Here is a 26,560-nt window from a genome sequence, read left to right on the forward strand (position 1 = left end):
CAAAAAAAGCCAGGTGGGAGGGAGGGGGAGATTGGGAAAGAATTTCCCTTTTTACTTTCTGAGCCCTGAAACTGATTTTATTTTTCCTAACTGAGAGATTGCTTCTGTAAGTACACAATAACATGATGTTGAAACAGAAACTATGAGACTTAAGGAGAACTGGTTGACTTAAAACATATACCAGTTCCTTCTTCCATTGTTAAAAGTAGGCTAACAGATCATTAGCTGGAGAGGAAATCAGATGATTATTGACCTTCTTGAGACAAGAGGGTACATGAGAAACTAATTACTAAACAGCTTGACAAATGGCCTGAGTAGATACTTACTGCTGTACACAGGATGTTGTATAATATTTTGTAAAGCCTGTTGTTTTTGGAAGTATTTATGGTAAGCTTTCTTAAAAATTATTATGGTAAATACTTCTGAAATCCGGCATACTTTTCTTTAAGCTTTGTCATTTCTGTTATGATTTTTCATGGTGAAATTTTGGTACTGAGATGGGCATTCTCTGTACCTTTATAGTACCACTCCAAAGGCAAGGAACCATGATTGACAACAGTCAAGCTGTGGATGAAATGACCAGGAACGGAGAATGAAGTATGTAAATCCCAGCTTCATAGGAACTCTTCTCATACTGCTTTTCAGATTAAAATTGCTGTTTACCTGGTCTCCCAATGTAATGCCTGACTGTGTCATTGCCCGGATCAGTTTTTCCCCCTGCCCCATCAATATGTTCTCTTGCATATATTGGCGTGCTGCCATACAAAGTAAAAATATTGGAGATATTCTATATTTTATATATAGGTTTATGTGTTGTTGGGGATGTTTTCATTGTGCTGTTTTGCACATAATAAATAATTCTCTATTGAGAAAAAAAAAATGGTGACATGAAAATGGAGTAGAAAATATGTCTGAAAGTTTGCAGAGCAAGAAATTGGTGGCTGAGAGGATATGGTGGTGGAAATGAAAGATAACAAAGATGATACCAAAGAATAGACTGAATCAATATCATTAACATTAAATAAAATCATTGTCAGAGTGTCTGAAAATTAAAGGAGAATAAGGTTTGAGGAGGAGCTATTAAATTAGGTGATTACATAGTCAGCCAATGAATAATTATGAGCACCAACTCTGCACCAGCCAAGATATAAAGGGGATAATGTGAGGCACCGGTCAGAGAAAGTCCCTGGCCTTAAAGGGTTTATATTCTTGTTTGTAGAGATAGATAATAAGCACTTAAACATACAGTAAGTCCTCACTTAACATCCTCAGGAGGCTCTTGAAAACTACAACTTTAAGTAAAAGTGTGTATAACAAAACCTATTTTACCATAGGCTAATTGATATCAACAAGAGTTACGTTCTTACAGCATATTTCTGATCACAAAAACATCACCAAACTTTATAGAGACTCAATATGCTTCTAATATTAAACATTGTAATAAATGTGAACTGTATATACACTTAAAATAGATTAATAAAAACAAGTAAGACAGTTATTTCTTTTTAACTTTTATTTTAGGTTCAGGATACATATTCAGGTTTGTTACAGAGCCAAATTGTGTAGCACAGGGGTTTGGTATACAGATTATTTCATCACCCAAGTAATAAGCATAGTGCCCAGTAGGTAATTTTTTTATCTTCTCTTTCCTCACAATCTCCACCCTCAAGTAGACTGTGGTATCTGTTGTTCCCTTAAGATAATTATTTATTTAACCAAGTTTTGGTGAAGCAGTTAGTGACAGCAGTTGATAATGGTAGTAGGTTAAATCAATGAGTAAATATTTGCAAAGCAAACATTGCAAGGAGCACTTCCAACTACCATACAGTTCAAAAACTACTTTAGATTTCATATGGAACCAAAAAAGAGCCCACATAGCCAAGACAATCCTACGCAAAAAGAACAAAGTTGGAGGCATCACACTACCTGACTTCAAACTATACTACAAGGCTACAGTAACCAAAACAGCATGGTACTGGTACCAAAACAGATGTACAGAACAATGGAACAGAACAGAGGCCTCAGAAATAACACCACACATCTACAACCATCTGATCTTTGACAAACCTGACAAAAACAAGCAATGGGGAATGGATTCCCTATTTAATCAATGGTGTTGGGAAAATGGCTAGCCATATGCAGAAAACTGAAATTGGACCCCTTCCTTACAGCTTATACAAAAATTAACTCGAGATGGATTAAACACTTAAACGTAAGACATAAAACCATAAAAACCCTAGAAGAAAACCTGGGCAATACCATTCAGGACACAGGGATAGGAAAAGACTTCAAGCCTAAAACACCAAAAGCAATGGCAACAAAAGCCAAAACTGACAAATGGGATCTAATTAAACTACAGAGCTTCTGCACAGCAAAAGAAACTATCATCAGAGTGAACAGGCAACCTACAGAATGGGAGAAAAATTTTGCAATCTATCTACCTGACAAAGGGTTAATATCCAGAATCTACAAGGAATTTAAATTTACAAGAAAAAAAAAAATCCCATCAAAAAGTGGGTGAAGGATATGAACAGACACTTCTCAAAAGAAGAAATTTATGTGGCTGACAAACATATGAAAAAAAGATCATCACTGGTCATTAGAGAAATGCAAATCAAAACCACAATGAGATGACATCTCACGCCAGTTAGGATGGTGATCATTAAAAAGTCAGGAAACAACGGATGCTGGAGAGAATGTGGAGAAATAGGAACGCTTTTACACTGTTGGTGGGAGTGTAAATTAGTTCAACCATTGTGGAAGACAGTGTGGAGATTCCTCAAGGATCTAAAACCAGAAACACCATTTGACTCAGCAATCCCATTACTGGGTATATACCCAAAGGATAAATCATTCTACTATAAAGACATATGCACACATGTGTTCATTGTGGCACTGTTCACAATAGCAAAGACTTGGAACCAATCCAAATGCCCACCAATGATTGACTGGATAAAGAAAATGTGGCACATATACACAATGGGATACTATGCAGCCATAAAAATGAATGAGTTCATGTCCTTTGCAGGGACATGGATGAAGCTGGAAACCATCATTCTCAGCAAACTAACAGAAGAACAGAAAACCAAACACTGCATGTTCTCATTCATAAGTGGGAGTTGAACAATGAGAACACAGGGACACAGGGAGGGGAACATCACACACTGAGGCCTATCGGGGGTGGGGTCTAGGGGAGGGATAGCATTGGAGAAATACCTAATGTAGATGACGGGTTGGTGGGTGCAGCAAACCACTACGGCATGTATATACCTATGTAACAAACCTGCATGTTCTGCACATGTATCCCAGAACTTAAAGTATAATAAAAAATAATTAAGAATGTATGAGAACAAAGAATAAGATGACAGGAAAAATACAGAGAAAATGTAAGATGGGAAATACCTGAGGGAATATGAGTTGGGAAATCAATTGGGCTTTTTGTTTGTTTTTGCCAATGGTTTTACTCATCTTAGTGAGGATGAAAGAAAGATCTGGATCTGTGAATGGGTTTCCAGGTCTGAAGATAGAGAAACAATTTTTGGAATGGCAGCTATGAGGAACATGACCAACAACCATAGCAACTAACTTGCAGGGTATGCTGAGAACCCATAAAACATTACAAGCCATACATTTTTGGAGCACCTAATCAGCTTGACTTTCTCTGGCAATCCGAGAGCAAAAAATATTGAATATTTAGGTTGTGGAACAAAATTAATTCATGATTTAATGGGAAAATATGGCAGCAAGTCGAGAACATTAGGTATTTTAAAGTGTTGTTGAAATGAATGGCAAGAAAAAAGAAATCAGAATCACAGGGATAAGCCATGGTCAGTGACAGAAATGACAAGCAAATGAAGAGTAAGGTAGTTGGAAAAATGGTCAATAAGAAGATTGTAGGCAGAAAGAAATAGTCAAAACTAGGATATAGGGTTACAGAAGTTCCTAGAATTAAAGTAGTCAGAATGAGGTGTTAGACCTTAATTAAAAATATTCTGCATGGGAAGCATTTCAAAAAAATACTTTTCAAATTTCAATCTATCATGTATTTACAGGTCTCTATGTGAAATCTTAAGGTGCTAATTAAAGCCTTTATAAACATTTGCACATAGTAATTTCATAATTATTTGAGGAAATATGGAGAAGCACTTCATCTTTTGAACACTGTTTCTGCAAATGATTGTTACTAATGTGAAGTTATAAAAAGGAAATTTCAGATGTCTTCTCTGTACAATTGACAACAGTCTTTTTTTTTTTTTGGCCAGAAAAGGAGGATGTGATTGGATTATGGACTACAAGATTCCTAAATGTGCCTCATGCTATATATATGATGATTGAAGTAAATTTCTTTACCCTCAGGATTTGGTGATCAACTTGAGGAACAAATAGAAATTAAAGAAATAGAAAAGAACATTTTCTTCTAATATTGTGCTTCTTAGTTGAGAAAATGAACTTTTAAGAGCTATATTATTTTGACTGGAAGAAACAAGAATCTGGCAAAGCAGCAGGTGGTTATCGTTTTGAAACACAAAAATAAACACAAATTCCCATACTTAAAGTTCAAAGAGTTTCTTTGAATTTAGTCCAACTGAGTATCAGTGTCTCTTGAGTATTGGTGTCCATGGGTGAGCTCTGAAATGCTAATACCATGACTGACTTCATTACTCTGGAGCACATAGTCAAAGTCCTAAATTATAGAATAAGAAAATATCTTATGCCTTTTTACCCTATAAAAGACACACTTCTGAAAGCAACATCCACTGGTGAACACCCAGTGGAAACACTGTGGTGATAATGGAACCAAAACATTTCATAATACCAATTCCTATGCACGCTTTACCTCACCTGAGCAGCACAAACTATAGTCCTGAGGTCTCCCCAGAATAATATCTCTATTTTAGATGAATTACAGAATATGCAATGGGCTAAATTGCTCAGGCCAATTTGGTCACATCACTATAGATACATTTATTTCATTAATTTTCTTCTACAATGGAAGATTTTTTTCTCTCCTTTTCTAGAATGCACAGTAAATTCCTCTTCTGACTATAATTAGGAAGTTCTGCAAAATGCTTCATGGTCTTCTATGATAGGTATAAAACAGAAGCAGATGGATCAGGGCCTAAAAATAACACAACACGAGAAGACATCATTCATGCAGAGCACAGTGCTCTGTCCCAGGTGGTGTCATTCACATTATATTCTGTGTTGTGCAACAGAGTGTCTCTGTGGGGAACAGATGACAGATGAGCTTACCAGGTAAGTGTACATGATCAAACATTTGCCATGAGAAACAGGTTGTCTATTCATCATGAAATATAGAAAGAGCAAACACTTACATAACACCAACTTATACCAGGCATTCTTTTAACCCTATGGGAAACATAACATTACTATTTCATTTTACACATGAGGAAACCAAAATAAAGACAGATTACATACCTTTACCCATGGTCATAAAGCTAATAAGCGGTAGAGCCAAGATTTGAAATAAGATAGTCTGCTTTCAGAATCTGGGCTCATCTGTTTATTAGAGATCAGTTTTTTCCCCAAAATAAAAGGAAAATAACAAAAAAGCTTAGAGCGCTTGAGTTCTGCAATGAAAGGTTTAGTACTAGATTTATGATCCAAGCTTGGTTTTCCAAAAGCAAGCACTGGATATATCGTCTGCCAACTTTTAAAAATATAAGACAAAATAAATTGACAGTGGCACCTGAGAGAGCAAATTTAATTATACAGTAATTATTCCTTCCTTCATAATACAATAACATCAAATCTGCACAAAAAATAAAACAACTGAAAGGGTTTCTTCAATGGTAATTACCACAACCTAGTTTTTATTTCCCATCTCTTTCTTTTAAAACTGAAAGAAAAGTATGAGCTTTATTGTGCAATTGGTTTCTTTACTTTTAAACACAAGGATAAAGTTGAAATTAATAAATGATAACATAACAATACATGAAAACCCAGATTTATAGGGAATAAAAAATTATAAAGAGGAAGACAAATACTGGCATACTAATTTTCTATTGACTTCAGTCATATGATTCTGTATTTGGTTTTTTCTTATGTGATAATGTCTAATTAAAGTAAATTTTTCAAGAATATGAGAGACAACTACTCACAGTATTAGAATTTTTATCACATAATTCAGATTTATCAAACACATAAACTCTCTTTCTTGAGTTAAAATAAAGCACTTCTGCTTTAAATGTGCCAGGCAACTGCATAATATAGTTTGTTCTCCAAGATGTATCTTCTGCTTGACAATGTTCATGCATCATTCTCAGATGCTGACAGATAACATGATTGTAAAAATTTTTACAACCAAGCTAGTGAGATATGTCAAGGTTCACATAAAAGAAACTCTGGCAATTGGTAAAAGGCTTCTCAATGAAATGGAACACTCTTCCACCTGAAGTAGCTGTTGTTAAATATTGAGAGATAAAAACATTTGGTTAGAAATTGCTTGGCAAAGTTAAAAGTAGCAATCACATTTTACAATTCAGCTTGGCCCTGCTACTTTAAGATGAATGTCACAAACCAGAATAAAAATATTATCTTCAGAGAACAAGGGTGAAAAGTTCCGTCTTGAAAACTCTTAAGATAAAAAGATGTTTCCCACTTATGAGTAGGTTTAAAGGTGCCAAAAAGCAAATGCATTAAAGAGAACTAAAATTATTCCTATTTCGTTTAGGTTTTCTGGAGTTTGATATAGAAAACTTTAATATAACAAATATTAGAGCCACATTCTTGGCCATTAGATATTAAATATTTAGCCACATGCTGAGGCTACATGCAATTTATTTTGCTATCTCTACGGAATATTGTACAAGAGTGTTGAAAATATTATTACCACTGATATTAATATAGAACTTAATAATTAATGTCTGCAGATACTTTAGGAGTGACATCAGTCTCCAGTTGCAGGGAAGAGTATGTCCTGAGCCTGAAGCTGCGTTCTCTACTCTAAATAGCAAGTCTAGGGCACATCTGAGACAATGTTTCCCATATAAAAGTTGTTGGCATGTATATTAGGAGATGTGTAAAATTTGGTTTTTATACCACCTTGTCTTTTATTGACCTGACAAAATTCATATTATACAAATTGAAAGGGAAATTTTAGTCAAGCCTGAAGAGTAAATTTGAGAAGCAAAAAGACAGAATGTGCATGTATCTGTGTGTGTCTGTGTTTGTGTGTGTGTCTGTGTGTGTCTGTGTGTATGTGTGTGTGTACTTACTCTATTTATTTATTGGTCTAACTAAGCCCAGGAGAATGAAAGATGCATGACTTAATAAAGAAATGTAGTATTAATAAGCACTTTTCCTTAGTCTTTGCACTAGCTGGATTTGAAGGTCAATGTGATTTTACCAAGAAATGTTGCCTATGAGAATGCATGGCAGAGAGCCAAGACTAGCAGCAAAACAGAAACAAAATAGGAAATAAAGGAGTTGGCAGTTTCTGTTCCCTGATTGCTTCTTTTCCCTTTTCTCACCTCTCTACTTAAACCTACCTTCCTGAGTCTTCTGGACCAGGAACCACTTGTTAGGGTTTTGTTCTTTTGTTTTCAAGTAATAAAAAGCCACTGCAGTTATCTCCTCTGGGGGAAAAGGAAGTTGAATATAAGGATGCTCAGTTGAAGAACTGAGGTACTGTGCAAACTCTTCTTTCTCTTTTCATTTGCCTTTCTTCAGCTCCATTTCTGTGTATATCTCTCTTTTCCTCTCTCCACCTCTTCATAGCTTTTCTGCTTCCTTATAATTTCAATTTGCACATAGCTTTGGATAGCCACGGTCCCGATCTATAACATCCCTTCAAAAAGAGAATTCCTTTTTTGTTTTCGATTCAGATTCCCAAGACAAGGAATGTGGTTAGCTCAATTCATTCTTTTATGTCTAGTCTTGATTCATACATATTTGGTCAGTATTATCAAATGAATTCTGTGCCACAAAAACATATGAAGTCCTAACCCCCAATACCTGTGAATGCAACCTTATTTGAAAATAGGATCTTTGCTGATGTAATTGAGTTAAGATGAGGTCATTAGGGTGGACCCTTAATCCATTATGACGGGTATCCTTACAAGAAGCCAGAAATTTAGACACCGGCACAGAGGGAAGATGGCTGTGGGAAGACAGAGGCAGAGACTGGAGTCACACATCCACAAGCCAAAGAATGCTTGGGGAAGATGTAAGGAAGGATTCTCAAAGACTTCCTGCCAGCACCTTACCTGTGTACCTCTAGTCTCCAGAACAGAGAAGAAATATATTTCTGTTGTTTGTCTTAAGCAATGTAGTTTATAGACCTTTCTTATAGCAGTTCTGGAAAACTCATACAGTCACTTTAGTCAATTGTCTAACCCTGATCCAAATATTTGAAAGGTGTCATACATCCAAAATATGACAATTTTGCCCTTTGGCTGAGCTTGCAGGAAGACATTTTCCCTTAGAAATTGTAGGAGTTGGTAGCCTGTGTCTATATCACTTGTCAAGAATGTACCTAATGGCTACTGCTAGTAAAAATCCCAAAAAACTAAAGTAAAGACTAATGTGTTCCTTTTCATCAGAAGTGCATGGTTTATTTCCCACTTTTTGGAAAAGAGGGAAATGTCTAAAGGAAAAAAATCAGTTATTTCTTCTAAAATTAAAACAAATGAAGTTATTTTAAACATGTTTTACCCTCTTACACAAGTTGTCATACTTCTTCTAAGAGAATTTAAATACAGAAAGAATTTTATACTTAACATTGACCATCAGTTGTCATTTCTTAAAATCTTCTGCTCTCATTAGCATCATGAAAGATACTAAAACCTAAAATAAAGTCAATAAAGAAACAAGCATGGGCTGGGCACTGTGGTTCATGCCTGTAATCCCAGCACTTTGGGAGGCCAAAGCGGGCTGATCACGAGGTCAGGAGTTTGCGACCAGCCTGACCAATATGGTGAAACCCCATCTCTACCAAAAATACAAAAATTAGCCAGGCCTGCTGGCGTGCACCTGTAATCCCAGCTACTCAGGAGGCTGAGGCAGGAGAATCACCTGAACCCAGTAGGTGGAGGTTGCAGTGAGCCGAGATCACACCACTGCACTCCAGCCTGGGAAACAGAGCAAGACTCAGTCTCAAAAAAAAAAAAAAAGAAACAGGCATGACGTGCCACCCAACAGATCCCTCTCAGTGCCCTTTATATAAACCAAAGTGGCCATGCAAACCAATGAAGGACCTATTTAGAAGCCCCCCCCAGCTGTTTGCACTTTGGCATACTATGTCAAAACAGGGTTCAGCAAATTGTGGCCTGTGGGATCAATCCAATCCCCCTCCAATTTTTGTAATATTTTATTGTAACACGGCCAAGGCCATTTATTTGCATATTGTCTGTGGCTGCTTTTGTGCCACAACTTGGGACAGAGACTGTACAGCCTCAAAGCCAAAATCCTCTACTATCTGGCTCTTTCTAGGACAATTCCAAAGACCTTTCTGTTCCTTTACTCCACTACGCAAAGCCTCACCTTCTTGATTTCTCTACTTCCATATTGTCTCCCTACTTGGCTCCTTCTCTCCATCCTTAAATCAATGACCTTAAGATGACAGCTGGTTTGGGCTTGATATTTCACATTTGTAATTCAACACCATCCAGGGCACAACTTCTGAATTGGGCCTTCCAGCGTCCCCCCATCAGAACTACAAACCAAAGCCTTCCTGTCACTGCTCCCACAGAGTAGCACGGCTTCCATAAGAAGACACAGCACATTGTGCTCTCTGTTCACGTAAGTCAAATGCCCACCCCTGACACTGATTAGTCTAGCTGCTGGTAACCATGAGAGAGTACTAGCTCTGCATTTGCAAATATTCTTTCCAGAGCCACTGTGGTTACTTCTCCCCATCCCACACAACCATGCTATGATTCCACTGAACTCTTTCCTCTTAATGTGTTTCTCCTTGTATAGACACTAAACTATGTTCGTGGGTCATCCAAATACATCAAATTTTAGCCCCACATCTGTCAGGGGACACAGAGTTCCCTGAAGCCTATCGGTTTGCACTTAGCCTTATCCCTGTGCAGAAAAACAGATTACTTTCCATAAAAGTGGGATGAATTAATGGAGACTGCTGGTTGATCAAGCTGCTGGTGTCCCATCACCCGGAAGCTGGATGGTAAGAAACACACTAACTCTTACAATCCCATTCAAAGAAGTCTTCAAGGAAGTGTTAATTGTGGAATGCCCATGAGATTCTAAGCTTCCCATTGTTTCATTCTCCCACTTTCTTCCCAGTTTTTTTCAACTAAAGTTTTGATCCAAAGATAGAGGCCCAGTTGAACACATTAACATATTCTTAATCTAAACTACATCCAATTGAGTCCATATCAAATTGGCCCCAGTAAGTAGGATCAACCGGGCCAGATGGCTATACATGCATTTGGTGACAGGTCACTCTGCAGGTACCTATCCTCCCAACAGAAACTCTACCTGGAAGGAGGGGCAGATGAGCTGACCCCTGCACTGCAGCCCCACTGCATTTCACCTCTCAGCCATGGGATTAACAAGAGAGGTATCATGCCTCTACTAGAAGGCACTGATGGACTCTGAGGGATTAGGCAACTTAGAGAACCAGGCCCTGGTGCGGGTCTCAGCTGCCTGTCAAGGCCATCTCCCGTGAGTAAACTCTGATGAAAGAATTCCTTCCTCTGGGGAGAATCAACCACCCTCTGGAATCTCCTTACATAGTCCCATAAAAAACAAAGCCAATAGCCTGGGATCATCTGTCACTTACCTCTCAGACTTCCTCAAGGTCTATGCTATATTTCACTAGATAATAATTTTTCCATCAATCACTCCAGAGGTGATCACATGTATACTAAATACAACACCCTACCTTTGAGGAGGTGTTAGACATGGAGCTTGCCCTCAAATCACAAGGCAACCACAACATCTCCTGGTGCCTACAATTCAGTCAAGCCAGGTATTCTTCCCTTTAAAGCCTAAAACCCAAGATTGCAAAGACTTCAAAGAGATGAATGTCATTCAGCTCCACAAGTCATAGATATTCCAGAGCTGGACCTCCACGTTCCTTCATTCTCAGAAGATGATGGGAGGGAGATGTCCTCCCAGATACTCTTAGCAAAGTTTAATGTCTTTCAGTGCTATCTGGCCAGCAGTATGTACTAAAAATCTTTCAGAAATTAATGAAGGGACTGCTGTATTGTTTTCCTGGATGAATACTAACATGACTAGGTAGCATTTTTTTAACCTTACCACACCCTTCTGGTCTGAGATCTTAATTCTCTGTGGCAGCTTTTCATCCAGGTCAAGCCTGAGAAAAGTCTTTCAAGAGCTGCTCTCAGTTCTAAGGGCAGTTGTCTGGAATAAAGACATCCTAGAATTCCTAGATATTTTGGGAGATCATCTAATTCAACATTTTATTTGGCCCAATAAAAGACATGTTTAATAAGCCAAGTAGGCTTGGCTGTATGTTTGATGTTTGTGATGGTCTTGTGGAAACTAAAGAGCTTGTTCCCCCCTTTCCTTAGCATTGCCAACCTAACCCAGTTCAGCTGTTCACTATCAAACTTGAGAACTCAAAAATAGCAGTGTAGATCATTCAATACAGGAAAATAACAGCTCTAATGACCTCTTTCTTTCCCTATTTCTCCAGTGAGTCTCAGCTATAGTCAATTATAGTAGCTAACACATGTGGTTAATTTTTAGTACCTCCAAGGAATGGAGGAATTACCCCAAGAAATACGGTGCCCCTTGAAGATGTGTTAAGACCTTCCTCTGCCACCCAGAGTAATTGAGAAACTTAGAATTTCAGTGTATGCCGGCAGTCACATTTCTCCATTTGTTCACCAGTTTCCATACAAATGTCCTTTCTCAGAAGCAAAAGTAGCATAATAAGGAGGAATGCATTCTGTCAGTAGATCTAGACGCAGAAACCAGTATAGGTATAGGTCTACAGCCCCACAGCAGCTAGATGCACTCTTATGTTACCCCTGAACAAATGCTTAACAACAATGGGACAAATATGAGTGTTTCCCACTCCTATTCAGCATAGTTTTGGAAGTTCTGGCCAGGGCAATCAGGCAGGAGAAAGAAATAAATGGTATTCAATTAGGAAAAGAGGAAGTCAAATTGTCTCCCTGTTTGCATATGACATGACTGTATATCTAGAAAACCCCACCGTCTCAGCCCAAAATCTCCTTAAGCTAATAAGCAACTTCAGCGAAGTCTCAGGATACAAAATCAATGTGCAAAAATCACAAGCATTCTTATACACCAATAACAGACAAACAGAGAGCCAAATCATGAGTGAACTCCCATTCACAATTGCTTCAAAGAGAATAAAATACCTAGGAATCCAACTTACAAGGGAGGTAAAGGACCTCTTCAAGGAGAACTACAAACCACTGCTCAATGAAATAAAAGAGGACACAAATAAATGGAAGAACATTCCATGCTCATGGATAGGAAGAATCAATATCGTGAAAATGGCCATACTGCCCAAGGTAATTTATAGATTCAATGCCATCCCCATCAAGCTACCAATGACTTTCTTCACAGAATTGGAAAAAACTACTTTCAAGTTCATATGGAACCAAAAAAGAGCCTGCATTGCCAAGTCAATCCTAAGCCAAAATAACAAAGTTGGAGGCATCACACTACCTGACTTCAAACTATACTATAGGGCTACAGTAACCAAAACAGCATGGTACTGATACCAAAACAGAAATATAGACTGATACCAAAACAGAAATAGAGCCCTCAGAAATAATACCAATCATCTACAACCATCTGATCTTTGACAAACCTGACAAAAACAAGAAATGGGGAAAGGATTCCCTATTTAATAAATGGTGCTGGGAAAACTGGCTAGCCATATGTAGAAAGCTGAAACTGGATCCCTTCCTTACACCTTATACAAAAATTAATTCAAGATGGATTAAAGACTTACATGTTAGACCTAAAACCATAAAAACCCTAGAAGAAAACCTAGGCAATACCATGCAGGACATATGCACGGCCAACGACTTCATGTTTAAAACACCAAAAGCAATGGCAATAAAAGCCAAAATTGACAAATGGGATCTAATTAAACTAAAGAGCTTCTGCACAGCAAAAGAAACTACCATCAGAGTGAACAGGCAACCTACAACATGGGAGAAAATTTTTGCAATCTACTCATCTGACAAAGGGCTAATATCCAGAATCTACAAAGAACTCAAATTTACAAGAAAAAAAACCTCATCAAAAAGTGGGTGAAGGATATGAACAGACGTTCCTCAAAAGAAGACATTTATGCAGCCAACAGACACATGAAAAAATGCTCATCATCACTGGCCATCAGAGGAATGCAAATCAAAACCACAATGAGATACCATCTCACACCAGTTAGAATGGCGATCATTAAAAAGTCAGGAAACAACAGGTACTGGAGAGGATGTGGAGAAATAGGAACACTTTTACACTGTTGGTGGGACTGTAAACTAGTTCAACCATTGTGGAAGTCAGTGTAGCGATTCCTCAGGGATCTAGAACTAGAAATACCATTTGACCCAGCCATCCCATTACTGGGTATATACCCAAAGGATTATAAATCCTGCTGCTATAAAGACACATGCACATGTATGCTCACTGCAGCACTATTCACAATAGCAAAGACTTGGAACCAACCCAAATGTCCATCAATGATAGACTGGATTAAGAAAATGTGGCACATATACACCATGGAATACTATGCAGCCATTAAAAAGGATGAGTTCACATCCTTGGTAGGGACATGGATGAAGCTGGAAACCATCATTCTCAGCAAACTATCGCAAGGACAAAAAACCAGACACCGCATGTTCTCACTCATAGGTGGGAATTGAACAATGAGAACACTTGGACACAGGAAGGGGAACATCATACACCAGGGCCTGTTGTGGGGTGGGGGAAGGGGGGAGGGATAGCATTGGGAGATATACCTAATGTAAATGAAAAGTTAATGGGTGCAGTACACCAACATGGCACATGTATGCATATGTAACAAACCTGCACGTTGTGTACACATACCCTAGAACTTAAAGTATGATGAAAAATATATATATGTTTCCTGGTGTCTCTAGAGGCAAAAAAGCTGTTACCTGGTTCTACAAGGACAGAACACAATATACTTGGTCACTGTCCACAAAAGACATATGCCTCATGATGCCATCCTGGTTAGTCCTCAGAGCCATTTAAATGGTCCACGAAACTCACAATAACCTTGCACCCACACCAACACATGCTTAAAATGCTACTACCTACAACAATTCATGTGTGAGGTCAAACACACATTAGAAATACTGCCGCACAGTTTCCTGACCTCCCAATGTCCAAATATGCTCCAAGACGCTATGCTAGTAGACTTGACCTATTCCACTAAACCACTTTCGCTTGTACTGGAGGATTCCAGCAGGAGAAAAACAACAGCCCATTTCAGCATGTACCCTTCCAATGGTGGGCTGAATCCAGCTTGTACCAGCTTGCCAGAGTCAAATGCTAAAGTTTCAGAAATTCTGTGAGCCAGTTGACATCACACTGGAAGCTTAAAATCAGCCATCCTGGGAGTATTTACTGAACAAACATTATCAGCAAATACTTCCAAAAAAAAAAGAGTCTCTTTTTCCAGAGAGTGGCTGCTAGACATCTGTCACAACACCACTGACTCTGTTCCACTCCTATTGTCTCAGCCAAAATTTCCTTTTTTAAAAGAGGTATTCCAGCTTGTATAACCGTCTAGCCACTTGAACACCAAGTTCCAGTTTCTTGATGCTTTCAATTTCTGAATCTACCTGTTTATCATCCTCCCTTTGCCACAGAACAAAGAAACAAAGGAAATCAGCTGTTTGACCTCCCAGCAGCAACACCTCTGGTCCACACATCAGGGAATTCATTTCTTATCACTCCGTAATACTTCTATAGCAGCAAGAACTATTATCACTATGATCATTTTGCAATTCAACCCCACCTCCTACAGATCCTCCAAAAGCAGTGATAAAATGTTAAGAGTCATATTAAGTTTAAAAGTGGGCATTTGAAAATGTTTAGTGATAAGTATTTTAATTCCAAACTAAGTCAAAAGGAGCATATGCCCCGAAATAGAGATTAAGACTGATTCCTTTGACAGGCTACTTCTGCAAAGTGCAGAAAAGTAGCTGTGAATGTTGGCCTCCATCCCATTTAATAAGTTGGGGATTGTCTGCTGCTGTTCATGGAAATTTTAGTGTTCACAACTCCACTCTTTAAGATCTATAAGGGGGATTGTTTATCCCTCATGGATTTCAATTTATTTCTCTCTCACAGAAAGGGAAATAAAACTTGCTCTAAATGTAAACCCTTCCAGACTGCAATAATATAAAAGGATAAATCCTTTATTATTTTAATAACTGCACTCCTTTGGTCCTCTCCCATGTGTGTGTGTGTGTGTCTGTGTGTGTGTGTGTGTGTGTGTGTGTGTGTACCTAATGAAACAGAAATAATCATAAAAGGGCTAATTTATGGATAGATTGTTCCTGAAAGATACACATAAAACGCTATTCTTCTAAAAAAAATTATCCTTACTAGCTATCCATAATGTATAAGTTTCTACCATTAAAGAGTTATTCCTTTGGTTTAAGAACTATGTTAAGCTATAAAATTTTAATATGAATCAAATAATCCAAAATTTGAAAAACATATTTTTCATCCTACAATCCTTACTGAGTACCTAGAGTTTATGAGGCCCTGGCCTGCATTAAAGGAACACATATATGAAGCTTAGACTTCATCAACGGAGATCTTCATGAAGAATACATGGTTCCTAATAAAGTGTCTGTGACAGTGGGACCAGGATAAGTTTGTTTCCATGTTGCAAGTTAAGAGGTTAGATAATATGCCCAAGATCACAAAACTAGTAAGTCATAGAGCTAACAGTTAAGCCAAGGTCTAATTTCAAAACTCTAGAGTCTTTTCATTATGTTGCTTAGGGGAATAGAAATTAGGAACTGATATCTGGTAATATGCAACAATCCCAGGAATTATGGTATCCTTGTCCTGAGTGACACATACGCAAGATATTAAAATTTTTTACCTGTTGTTCTGCAAAAATCCTTGACCAGACAAAACATGACCTAAGAATTCCACTGCTTTTTGAAATCCATGTATTAGGGGTTGAAGGAAGGTGATAACCACAGTTTTCATTTAATAATTCTTGCATTAGTTTCCCATGGCTCCTATAAACTGGGTGGCTTAAAACAACAAAAAGTTATTCCCTCACAGTTATGGAGGCAGAAGTCCATAATCAAAGTGTCAGCAGGGCTACACTCTGTCTGGAGGCTCTAGGGAGAATCTGTTCTGTGGCTGTTGCAGCTTCCAGCAGCTACTAGCATTTCGTAGCTTATGGCTGCATCTCTCTCTCTACTCTGTCTTCATATCGCCTTCTCCTCTATGTGTCTGTATTATCTCTTTTTGTCTCTTTTAAGAATATTTGTGATGGCATTTGGGGACCACTCAGATAATGAAAGATAATCTCCCCATCTAAGAATCCTTAACTTAATTGCACCAGCAAAGATTCTTTCTCTAAATAAAGTACCATTTACAAGTCCCAGGTACTGGGATTTAATATCTTTGGGTGGCCAACTGTATTAGTTAATTTTCAGGCTGCTGATAAAGACATACCCGAGACTGGAAAGAAAAAGATGTTTAATGGACTTACAGTTCCATGTGGCTGGGGAGGCCTCACAACCATGGCAGAAGGCAAGAAGGGGCAAGTCACATCTTACATGAATGGAGGCAGGCAAAAAGAGAGAGCTTGTGCAGGGAAACTGCACTGTCAGATCTCGTGAGACTTAATCACTATCATGAAAACAGCACAGGAAAGACCCACCCCCATGATTCAATTACCTCCCACCAGGTTTCTCCTATGACACATGGGAATTGTGGGAGTTACAATTACAAGATGAGATCTGGGTGGGAACACAGCCAAACCATATCACCAACCTACTACAGTGCTATATTTAGTGGAGTCTATTTTTCACTCACATAGAGGAGAACTGGATGTAGTGGTGTTAGGTTATCAATCTATTTTTGCTTGGAGAAAAAGAACAAGACACTACTCTGTTCCTTTTCCTCCCCACGTCCACTGCCTACCATCCCAGGCTAAAATGGACCATGTTTGGAGGAAAGGCAGACTGCTGCTTCATTCTCATGGCTGATTAGTCCCATTATTCCGTTTTCAAAGCACAGCTTAGCAAAGGCTATAAGTAATGCTGCCTTTAGACGTAGGCTACAAGGTCCCCCAACATGGGTCCTGCGCTTTGGAGGCAACCACAATGGTCTGTCTACTGCTGTACCCCTCCCCCTAAGGCAGCCTCCATGGGACAAGAAGGGCCTACCTAGAGCGCATGACCTCCACCTTCCATCCCAAATAGTATTCTGAGGACTGAAATCTTAAAATTCCCTGGCTCAAGTCTTTTCTCCCAAAGGTAGACTATGTTGTGGACACCCCAAGCCCTGAGAAACATCCAAGATGTGGGTAGGTAAGGTATGGATTCACTTGGATAAGCCGTTGGGACCACTTGCACATATGTACTCCAGGCCAGAGCCAGGTATAACAAGCAGAGGTAGGAGATCTATAGACTGGAGTCTGCATTTGTTCTTTGACCTAAGGCCCTGCAAATGACAGAGGCAGCCTTGGCCATGAGAACAGGGGAAGAGGTAAAGCCAGACAATGGCCATTAGCTGCCATTTGGCTTCTCCATGATATGGTAGGAGACAAGAGAATGCTACATAATTAGGAATAGCTAAGTATCTACTCTGCTGATGAGTTCATTTCCAAAAAATGCTGAAATATATAATACTTGTTTTAATATCTATTAATGGCCTTAATAATGTTATTTTTTGGCTCAATAATTTCACTTCCTGGAATTTAGTCTTTGGAAATGTAAGAATTAAAGAAAGAGGAGAGAAACACGAAGGGTGGCTTTACAGTCAACAAGGACAGGTTTATTTTAAATAAAGCTGAGAGGGGCTTCTGGCCAAGCTAGGTCAGAGCCACACTCGCTTACAGACTAAGAGTTTTTAGGGGTTCGGGGTGGGAGAGTTTATCAGAGGCTGGGACTCTCCTTCTGTGTCTCTCTGTTGTGCTTATCTAGAGGGGAGAGTTTTGTGTCTGTTTCCATACTTCTTTCTGCAGCTGCAGGCATATCCCTTGAATCTGCTTTTAGCTTCCCTATCTTAGTGCACCTGAAAGGAAAGGAATGTGCTTATTAAGGCCCACTGTTTTAGTGAGGCCCATTGTATGAGAGGGAAGTTTGGCAGTTATCCAAGAGACTTTCCTCCTATTTCCCTCTGTGCCCAAGCTGTCTTATCTGTGTTTTACTTTCTGCTCTTTCTGTTGGCTTGTAGTTAGAAGAGATTTCCTTGAAATGCATGAGTCTAGAAAGGGAGCTGGAACTTAAAGCGGTGATGTTTGTCCGAGACGACGGTGCTCCTGCTCTGTCAGGAAATATTTCAAAATGTAAAATAAAAATGCTTTATATACAGATTTTCATTCCCTTTTTTTCATTTAAGAAGATAAGAAAAGGTAAACATTCCAAATGTCCAATAGACACATAGCTAAATAAATGGCAGTATGCTGAAATCAAGATAATGGAGTTTATAAAAATAGTGTTTACAAATTGTTTTAATAACATGGAAAATCCATATAGTGTTGATTAAAAAATAAAAGAAATGAGAAACAAAATCGTCTCAACTATGTAAAACTTAATTCTAGCCAAAAAATGACTTCAGGAAATAATAATATGTTAATTGCCCTAAGAAAATAGGCTTCTGTATTTTTATTATAATTTATAATTTAATTAAAAATTGCCTACAATAATATACATTACTTTTACAACCAGATTTTTTAAAAAGCAACACTAAAGGATAAAACACGGAAACCAGTTACACATGGCAGATGGAACATGTATGTTTGTTATTTCCTTCCCCAAACCCCACTAGATGACAGCAGATTTTTTAAAGGGTACAAACCCACAAAGAAAAAGAGAACAGAGAAGAAGACAACGCAAAACTTGGCAAACTACAAAGCTAGTAGATAAGAAGTGACTAACAAGTAGACCTGAGAAAGGTGACCTTACTGCCAGCCGTTGGGGGAAACCAATCTGATCCACAGAAAAGCTCAGGAATTGGGGACACCTCCTGTAACAGAGCAGGATAACAAATGGGGTATAAAAATAAGGGATTGATTGAAAATTGGAACAAAATGCATTGAGAGGCCAGGTAGGTGCAGTGGCTCACACCTGTAATCCCAGCACTTTGGAGGCTGAGGCGGGTGGATCACTTGAGGTCAGGAGTTCAAGACCAGCCTGGCCAACATGGTAAAAACGCATCTCTACTAAAAACACAAAAACTTAGCTGGGCGTGGTGGCAGGTGCCTGTAGTTCCAGCTACTCCAGAGACTGAGGCATGAGAATCACCTGAACACAGGAGGCAGAGCTTGCAGTGAGCCCAGTTTGCGGCACTGCACTCCAGCCTGGGTGACAGGGCGAGACTCCATCTAAAACAAAACAAACCAAAACAAAACAGACAAAAAAAATTGCATTGAGAACCTCAGAAATCTCTCCAAATCCGTAATAAGTCAGAGGTTTACTCTCTGAAAAGACTTAATCAAAAGATTCTGGACTCAACCCTTAGGCAGAGCTGAGGTTGGTGTGCTATATTGAAAATATAGGCAATAAGTAAATGGTGAAATTCCTGCTCACTTCTCCAGAATGCTGGTATAAAAGTTTACACCTTTCAAAGAGTAAACTGACTAAACCAAGGACTTACACATGCTAGCAACTGAGGGTGGGCAGAGGGGACATTTTTGATAGGCTATTCATTGATATGGCTTTTTCATTTATACACAGTAATTGACTAACATTTTATTGCCTCATTCTTTTTTTTTTTTTTCTTTTTTTTTTTTTATTATACTCTAAGTTTTAGGGTACATGTGCACATTGTGCAGGTTAGTTACATATGTATACATGTGCCATGCTGGTGTGCTGCACCCACTAACGTGTCATCTAGCATTAGGTATATCTCCCAATGCTATCCCTCCCCCCTCCCCCGACCCCACCACAGTCCCCAGAGTGTGATATTCCCCTTCCTGTGTCCAAGTGATCTCATTGTTCAATTCCCACCTATGAGTGAGAATATGCGGTGTTTGGTTTTTTGTTCTTGCGATAGTTTACTGAGAATGATGGTTTCCAATTTCATCCATGTTCCTACAAAGGACATGAACTCATCATTTTTTATGGCTGCATAGTATTCCATGGTGTATATGTGCCACATTTTCTTAATCCAGTCTATCATTGTTGGACATTTGGGTTGGTTCCAAGTCTTTGCTATTGTGAATAGTGCCGCAATAAACATACGTGTGCATGTGTCTTTATAGCAGCATGATTTATAGTCCTTTGGGTATATACCCAGTAATGGGATGGCTGGGTCAAATGGTATTTCTAGTTCTAGATCCCTGAGGAATTGCCACACTGACTTCCACAATGGTTGAACTAGTTTACAGTCCCACCAACAGTGTAAAAGTGTTCCTATTTCTCCACATCCTCTCCAGCACCTGTTGTTTCCTGACTTTTTAATGACTGCCATTCTAACTGGTGTGAGATGATATCTCATAGTGGGTTTGATTTGCATTTCTCTGATGGCCAGTGATGATGAGCATTTCCTCATGTGTTTTTTGGCTGCATAAATGTCTTCTTTTGAGAAGTGTCTGTTCATGTCCTTCGCCCACTTTTTGATGGGGTTGTTTGTTTTTTTCTTGTAAATTTGTTTGAATTCATTGTAGATTCTGGATATTAGCCCTTTGTCAGATGAGTAGGTTGCGAAAATTTTCTCCCATGTTGTAGGTTGCCTGTTCACTCTGATGGTAGTTTCTTTTGCTGTGCAGAAGCTCTTTAGTTTAATTAGATCCCATTTGTCAATTTTGGCTTTTGTTGCCATTGCTTTTGGTGTTTTGGACATGAAGTCCTTGCCCATGCCTATGTCCTGAATGGTAATGCCTAGGTTTTCTTCTAGGGTTTTTATGGTTTTAGGTCTAACGTTTAAATCTTTAATCCATCTTGAATTGATTTTTGTATAACGTGTAAGGAAGGGATCCAGTTTCAGCTTTCTACATATGGCTAGCCAGTTTTCCCAGCACCATTTATTAAATAGGGAATCCTTTCCCCATTGCTTGTTTTTCTCAGGTTTGTCAAAGATCAGATAGTTGTAGATATGTGGCATTATTTCTGAGGGCTCTGTTCTGTTCCATTGATCTATATCTCTGTTTTGGTACCAGTACCATGCTGTTTTGGTTACTGTAGCCTTGTAGTATAGTTTGAAGTCAGGTAGTGTGATGCCTCCAGCTTTGTTCTTTTGGCTTAGGATTGACTTGGCGATGCGGACTCTTTTTTGGTTCCATATGAACTTTAAAGTAGTTTTTTCCAATTCTGTGAAGAAAGTCATTGGTAGCTTGATGGGGATGGCATTGAATCTGTAAATTACCTTGGGCAGTATGGCCATTTTCACGATATTGATTCTTCCTACCCATGAGCATGGAATGTTCTTCCATTTGTTTGTGTCCTCTTTTATTTCCTTGAGCAGTGGTTTGTAGTTCTCCTTGAAGAGGTCCTTCACATCCCTTGTAAGTTGGATTCCTAGGTATTTTATTCTCTTTGAAGCAATTGTGAATGGGAGTTCACTCATGATTTGGCTCTCTGTTTGTCTGTTGTTGGTGTATAAGAATGCTTGTGATTTTTGTACATTGATTTTGTATCCTGAGACTTTGCTGAAGTTGCTTATCAGCTTAAGGAGATTTTGGGCTGAGACGATGGGGTTTTCTAGATAAACAATCATGTCGTCTGCAAACAGGGACAATTTGACTTCCTCTTTTCCTAATTGAATACCCTTTATTTCCTTCTCCTGCCTGATTGCCCTGGCCAGAACTTCCAACACTATGTTGAATAGGAGTGGTGAGAGAGGGCATCCCTGTCTTGTGCCAGTTTTCAAAGGGAATGCTTCCAGTTTTTGCCCATTCAGTATGATATTGGCTGTGGGTTTGTCATAGATAGCTCTTATTATTTTGAAATACGTCCCATCAATACCTAATTTATTGAGAGTTTTTAGCATGAAGGGTTGTTGAATTTTGTCAAAGGCTTTTTCTGCATCTATTGAGATAATCATGTGGTTTTTGTCTTTGGCTCTGTTTATATGCTGGATTACATTTATTGATTTGCGTATATTGAACCAGCCTTGCATCCCAGGGATGAAGCCCACTTGATCATGGTGGATAAGCTTTTTGATGTGCTGCTGGATTCGGTTTGCCAGTATTTTATTGAGGATTTTTGCATCAATGTTCATCAAGGATATTGGTCTAAAATTCTCTTTTTTGGTTGTGTCTCTGCCCGGCTTTGGTATCAGAATGATGCTGGCCTCATAAAATGAGTTAGGGAGGATTCCCTCTTTTTCTATTGATTGGAATAGTTTCAGAAGGAATGGTACCAGTTCCTCCTTGTACCTCTGGTAGAATTCGGCTGTGAATCCATCTGGTCCTGGACTCTTTTTGGTTGGTAAACTATTGATTATTGCCACAATTTCAGAGCCTGTTAATTGGTCTATTCAGAGATTGAACTTCTTCCTGGTTTAGTCTTGGGAGAGTGTATGTGTCAAGGAATGTATCCATTTCTTCTAGATTTTCTAGTTTATTTGCATAGAGGTGTTTGTAGTATTCTCTGATGGTAGTTTGTATTTCTGTGGGATCGGTGGTGATATCCCCTTTATCATTTTTTATTGTGTCTATTTGATTCTTCTCTCTTTTTTTCTTTATTAGTCTTGCTAGCGGTCTATCAATTTTGTTGATCCTTTCAAAAAACCAGCTCCTGGATTCATTGATTTTTTGAAGGGTTTTTTGTGTCTCTATTTCCTTCAGTTCTGCTCTGATTTTAGTTATTTCTTGCCTTCTGCTAGCTTTTGAATGTGTTTGCTCTTGCTTTTCTAGTTCTTTTAATTGTGATGTTAGGGTGTCAATTTTGGATCTTTCCTGCTTTCTCTTGTAGGCATTTAGTGCTATAAATTTCCCTCTACACACTGCTTTGAATGCGTCCCAGAGATTCTGGTATGTGGTGTCTTTGTTCTCGTTGGTTTCAAAGAACATCTTTATTTCTGCCTTCATTTCGTTATGTATCCAGTAGTCATTCAGGAGCAGGTTGTTCAGTTTCCATGTAGTTGAGCGGTTTTGAGTGAGATTCTTAATCCTGAGTTCTAGTTTGATTGCACTGTGGTCTGAGAGATAGTTTGTTATAATTTCTGTTCTTTTACATTTGCTGAGGAGAGCTTTACTTCCAACTATGTGGTCAATTTTGGAATAGGTGTGGTGTGGTGCTGAAAAAAATGTATATTCTGTTGATTTGGGGTGGAGAATTCTGTAGATGTCTATTAGGTCTGCTTGGGGCAGAGCTGAGTTCAATTCCTGGGTATCCTTGTTGACTTTCTGTCTCGTTGATCTGTCTAATGTTGACAGTGGGGTGTTAAAGTCTCCCATTATTAATGTGTGGGAGTCTAAGTCTCTTTGTAGGTCACTCAGGACTTGCTTTATGAATCTGGGTGCTCCTGTATTGGGTGCATAAATATTTAGGATAGTTAGCTCCTCTTGTTGAATTGATCCCTTTACCATTATGTAATGGCCTTCTTTGTCTCTTTTGATCTTTGTTGGTTTAAAGTCTGTTTTATCAGAGACTAGGATTGCAACCCCTGCCTTTTTTTGTTTTCCATTGGCTTGGTAGATCTTCCTCCATCCTTTTATTTTGAGCCTATGTGTGTCTCTGCACGTGAGATGGGTTTCCTGAATACAGCACACTGATGGGTCTTGACTCTTTATCCAACTTGCCAGTCTGTGTCTTTTAATTGCAGAATTTAGTCCATTTATATTTAAAGTTAATATTGTTATGTGTGAATTTGATCCTGTCATTATGATGTTAGCTGGTTATTTTGCTCATTAGTTGATGCAGTTTCTTCCTAGTCTCGATGGTCTTTACATTTTGGCATGATTTTGCAGCGGCTGGTACCGGTTGTTCCATGTTTAGCGCTTCCTTCAGGAGCTCTTTTAGGGCAGGCCTGGTGGTGACAAAATCTCTCAGCATTTGCTTGTCTATAAAGTATTTTATTTCTCCTTCACTTATGAAGCTTAGTTTGGCTGGATATGAAATTCTGGGTTGAAAATTCTTTTCTTTAAGAATGTTCAATATTGGCCCCCACTCTCTTCTGGCTTGTAGGGTTTCTGCCGAGAGATCCGCTGTTAGTCTGATGGGCTTTCCTTTGAGGGTAACCCGACCTTTCTCTCTGGCTGCCCTTAACATTTTTTCCTTCAATTCAACTTTGGTGAATCTGACAATTATGTGTCTTGGAGTTGCTCTTCTCGAGGAGTATCTTTGTGGCGTTCTCTGTATTTCCTGAATCTGAACGTTGGCCTGCCTTGCTAGATTGGGGAAGTTCTCCTGGATAATATCCTGCAGAGTGTTTTCCAACTTGGTTCCATTCTCCACGTCACTTTCAGGTACACCAATCAGACGTAGATTTGGTCTTTTCACATAGTCCCATATTTCTTGGAGGCTTTGCTCATTTCTTTTTATTCTTTTTTCTCTAAACTTCCCTTCTCGCTTCATTTCATTCATTTCATCTTCCATTGCTGATACCCTTTCTTCCAGTTGATCGCATCGGCTCCTGAGGCTTCTGCATTCTTCACGTAGTTCTCGAGCCTTGGTTTTCAGCTCCATCAGCTCCTTTAAGCACTTCTCTGTATTGGTTATTCTAGTTATACATTCTTCTAAATTTTTTTCAAAGTTTTCAACTTCTTTGCCTTTGGTTTGAATGTCCTCCCGTAGCTCAGAGTAATTTGATCGTCTGAAGCCTTCTTCTCTCAGCTCGTCAAAATCATTCTCCATCCAGCTTTGTTCTGTTGCTGGTGAGGAACTGCGTTCCTTTGGAGGAGGAGAGGCGCTCTGCGTTTTAGAGTTTCCAGTTTTTCTGTTCTGTTTTTTCCCCATCTTTGTGGTTTTATCTACTTTTGGTCTTTGATGATGGTGATGTACAGATGGGTTTTCGGTGTAGATGTCCTTTCTGGTTGTTAGTTTTCCTTCTAACAGACAGGACCCTCAGCTGCAGGTCTGTTGGAATACCCTGCCGTGTGAGGTGTCAGTGTGCCCCTGCTGGGGGGTGCCTCCCAGTTAGGCTGCTCGGGGGTCAGGGGTCAGGGACCCACTTGAGGAGGCAGTCTGCCCGTTCTCAGATCTCCAGCTGCGTGCTGGGAGAACCACTGCTCTCTTCAAAGCTGTCAGACAGGGACACTTAAGTCTGCAGAGGTTACTGCTGTCTTTTTGTTTGTCTGTGCCCTGCCCCCAGAGGTGGAGCCTACAGAGGCAGGCAGGCCTCCTTGAGCTGTGGTGGGCTCCACCCAGTTCGAGCTTCCCGGCTGCTTTGTTTACCTAAGCAAGCCTGGGCAATGGCGGGCGCCCCTCCCCCAGCCTCGTTGCCGCCTTGCAGTTTGATCTCAGACTGCTGTGCTAGCAATCAGCGAGATTCCGTGGGCGTAGGACCCTCTGAGCCAGGTGTGGGATATCGTCTCGTGGTGCGCCGTTTCTTAAGCCGGTCTGAAAAGCGCAATATTCGGGTGGGAGTGACCCGATTTTCCAGGTGTGTCCGTCACCCCTTTCTTTTACTCGGAAAGGGAACTCCCTAACCCCTTGCGCTTCCCAGGTGAGGCAATGCCTCGCCCTGCTTCAGCTCGCGCACGGTGCGCACACACACTGGCCTGCGCCCACTGTCTGGCACTCCCTAGTGAGATGAACCCGGTACCTCAGATGGAAATGCAGAAATCACCCGTCTTCTGCGTCGCTCACGCTGGGAGCTGTAGACGGGAGCTGTTCCTATTCGGCCATCTTGGCTCCTCCCTCCTATTGCCTCATTCTTAAAACGAATAGAAGCCAACAATTGCAAGACATTTGAGAAAAGTATCTAATGTGAAAGAGAATCTAAGAGATATAGAAAGTAAAAACAAAAACACAAAACTTCAAGGGAAACAGGAACAATGTGGTAAGCAGGTAGGAGCTTTGAATGAGCAATAACTGAAACCCTCAGAGAGGTAATGTAGTAAAACTTAATCCATAAAATAAGAACAGAAGGTTATAAACTTAAGAATGTTGAGAGAAAAAAGGAGATTTGTGAAATTTAAAAATAATGTGATAGCAAAATGAAAATCTCAAAAAAATTTGGAAGCAAAATCACTTTTGCTGGATGAGTGGTAGTAGTGCTCATCCTCAAACCTAACTTTGAGTTCAAGACCAGTGTCCTCTCTGCCTTCTATCAATGCCTGCCCTCAGTATATTTTCACAGATGGTGTCTGTGGTTTGAAGAATTCATCTGTGACATTCTATACCTCTCTTGAAACTGTTATATCAAAGCACTCTAACTTCATCAACAATAAAATTTTATTGTCAGACTCTGCCATTTATCTGGAAATGGAAGAATAGGTTTCGCCTGC

General features: G+C 39.3%; 1 long non-coding RNA gene across 1 annotated transcript, besides 1 other annotated feature; it reads right to left on the bottom strand.

The window, feature by feature from the left end:
* Positions 1–1,498: 1,498 nt before the first annotated feature.
* Positions 1,499–8,225, bottom strand: LOC124903183 (uncharacterized). The gene is made up of 2 exons (XR_007063826.1): positions 7,512–8,225; positions 1,499–6,421 (listed from the first exon to the last, which is right to left on the bottom strand). It is a non-coding gene; the product is annotated as an uncharacterized LOC124903183 (long non-coding RNA).
* Positions 25,593–26,298: an enhancer, noted in NCBI's record as "NANOG-H3K27ac-H3K4me1 hESC enhancer chr13:77192606-77193311 (GRCh37/hg19 assembly coordinates)". NCBI's record gives its function as "activates a minimal SCP1, AML or CMV promoter by ChIP-STARR-seq in primed H9 embryonic stem cells {active_cell/tissue: H9 hESC(primed)}" and the evidence as "EXISTENCE:reporter gene assay evidence [ECO:0000049][PMID:30033119]".

The sequence above is a fragment of the Homo sapiens genome, chromosome 13, assembly GCF_000001405.40.
Source record: "Homo sapiens chromosome 13, GRCh38.p14 Primary Assembly".
Classification (NCBI taxonomy): Eukaryota; Metazoa; Chordata; class Mammalia; order Primates; family Hominidae; genus Homo; species Homo sapiens.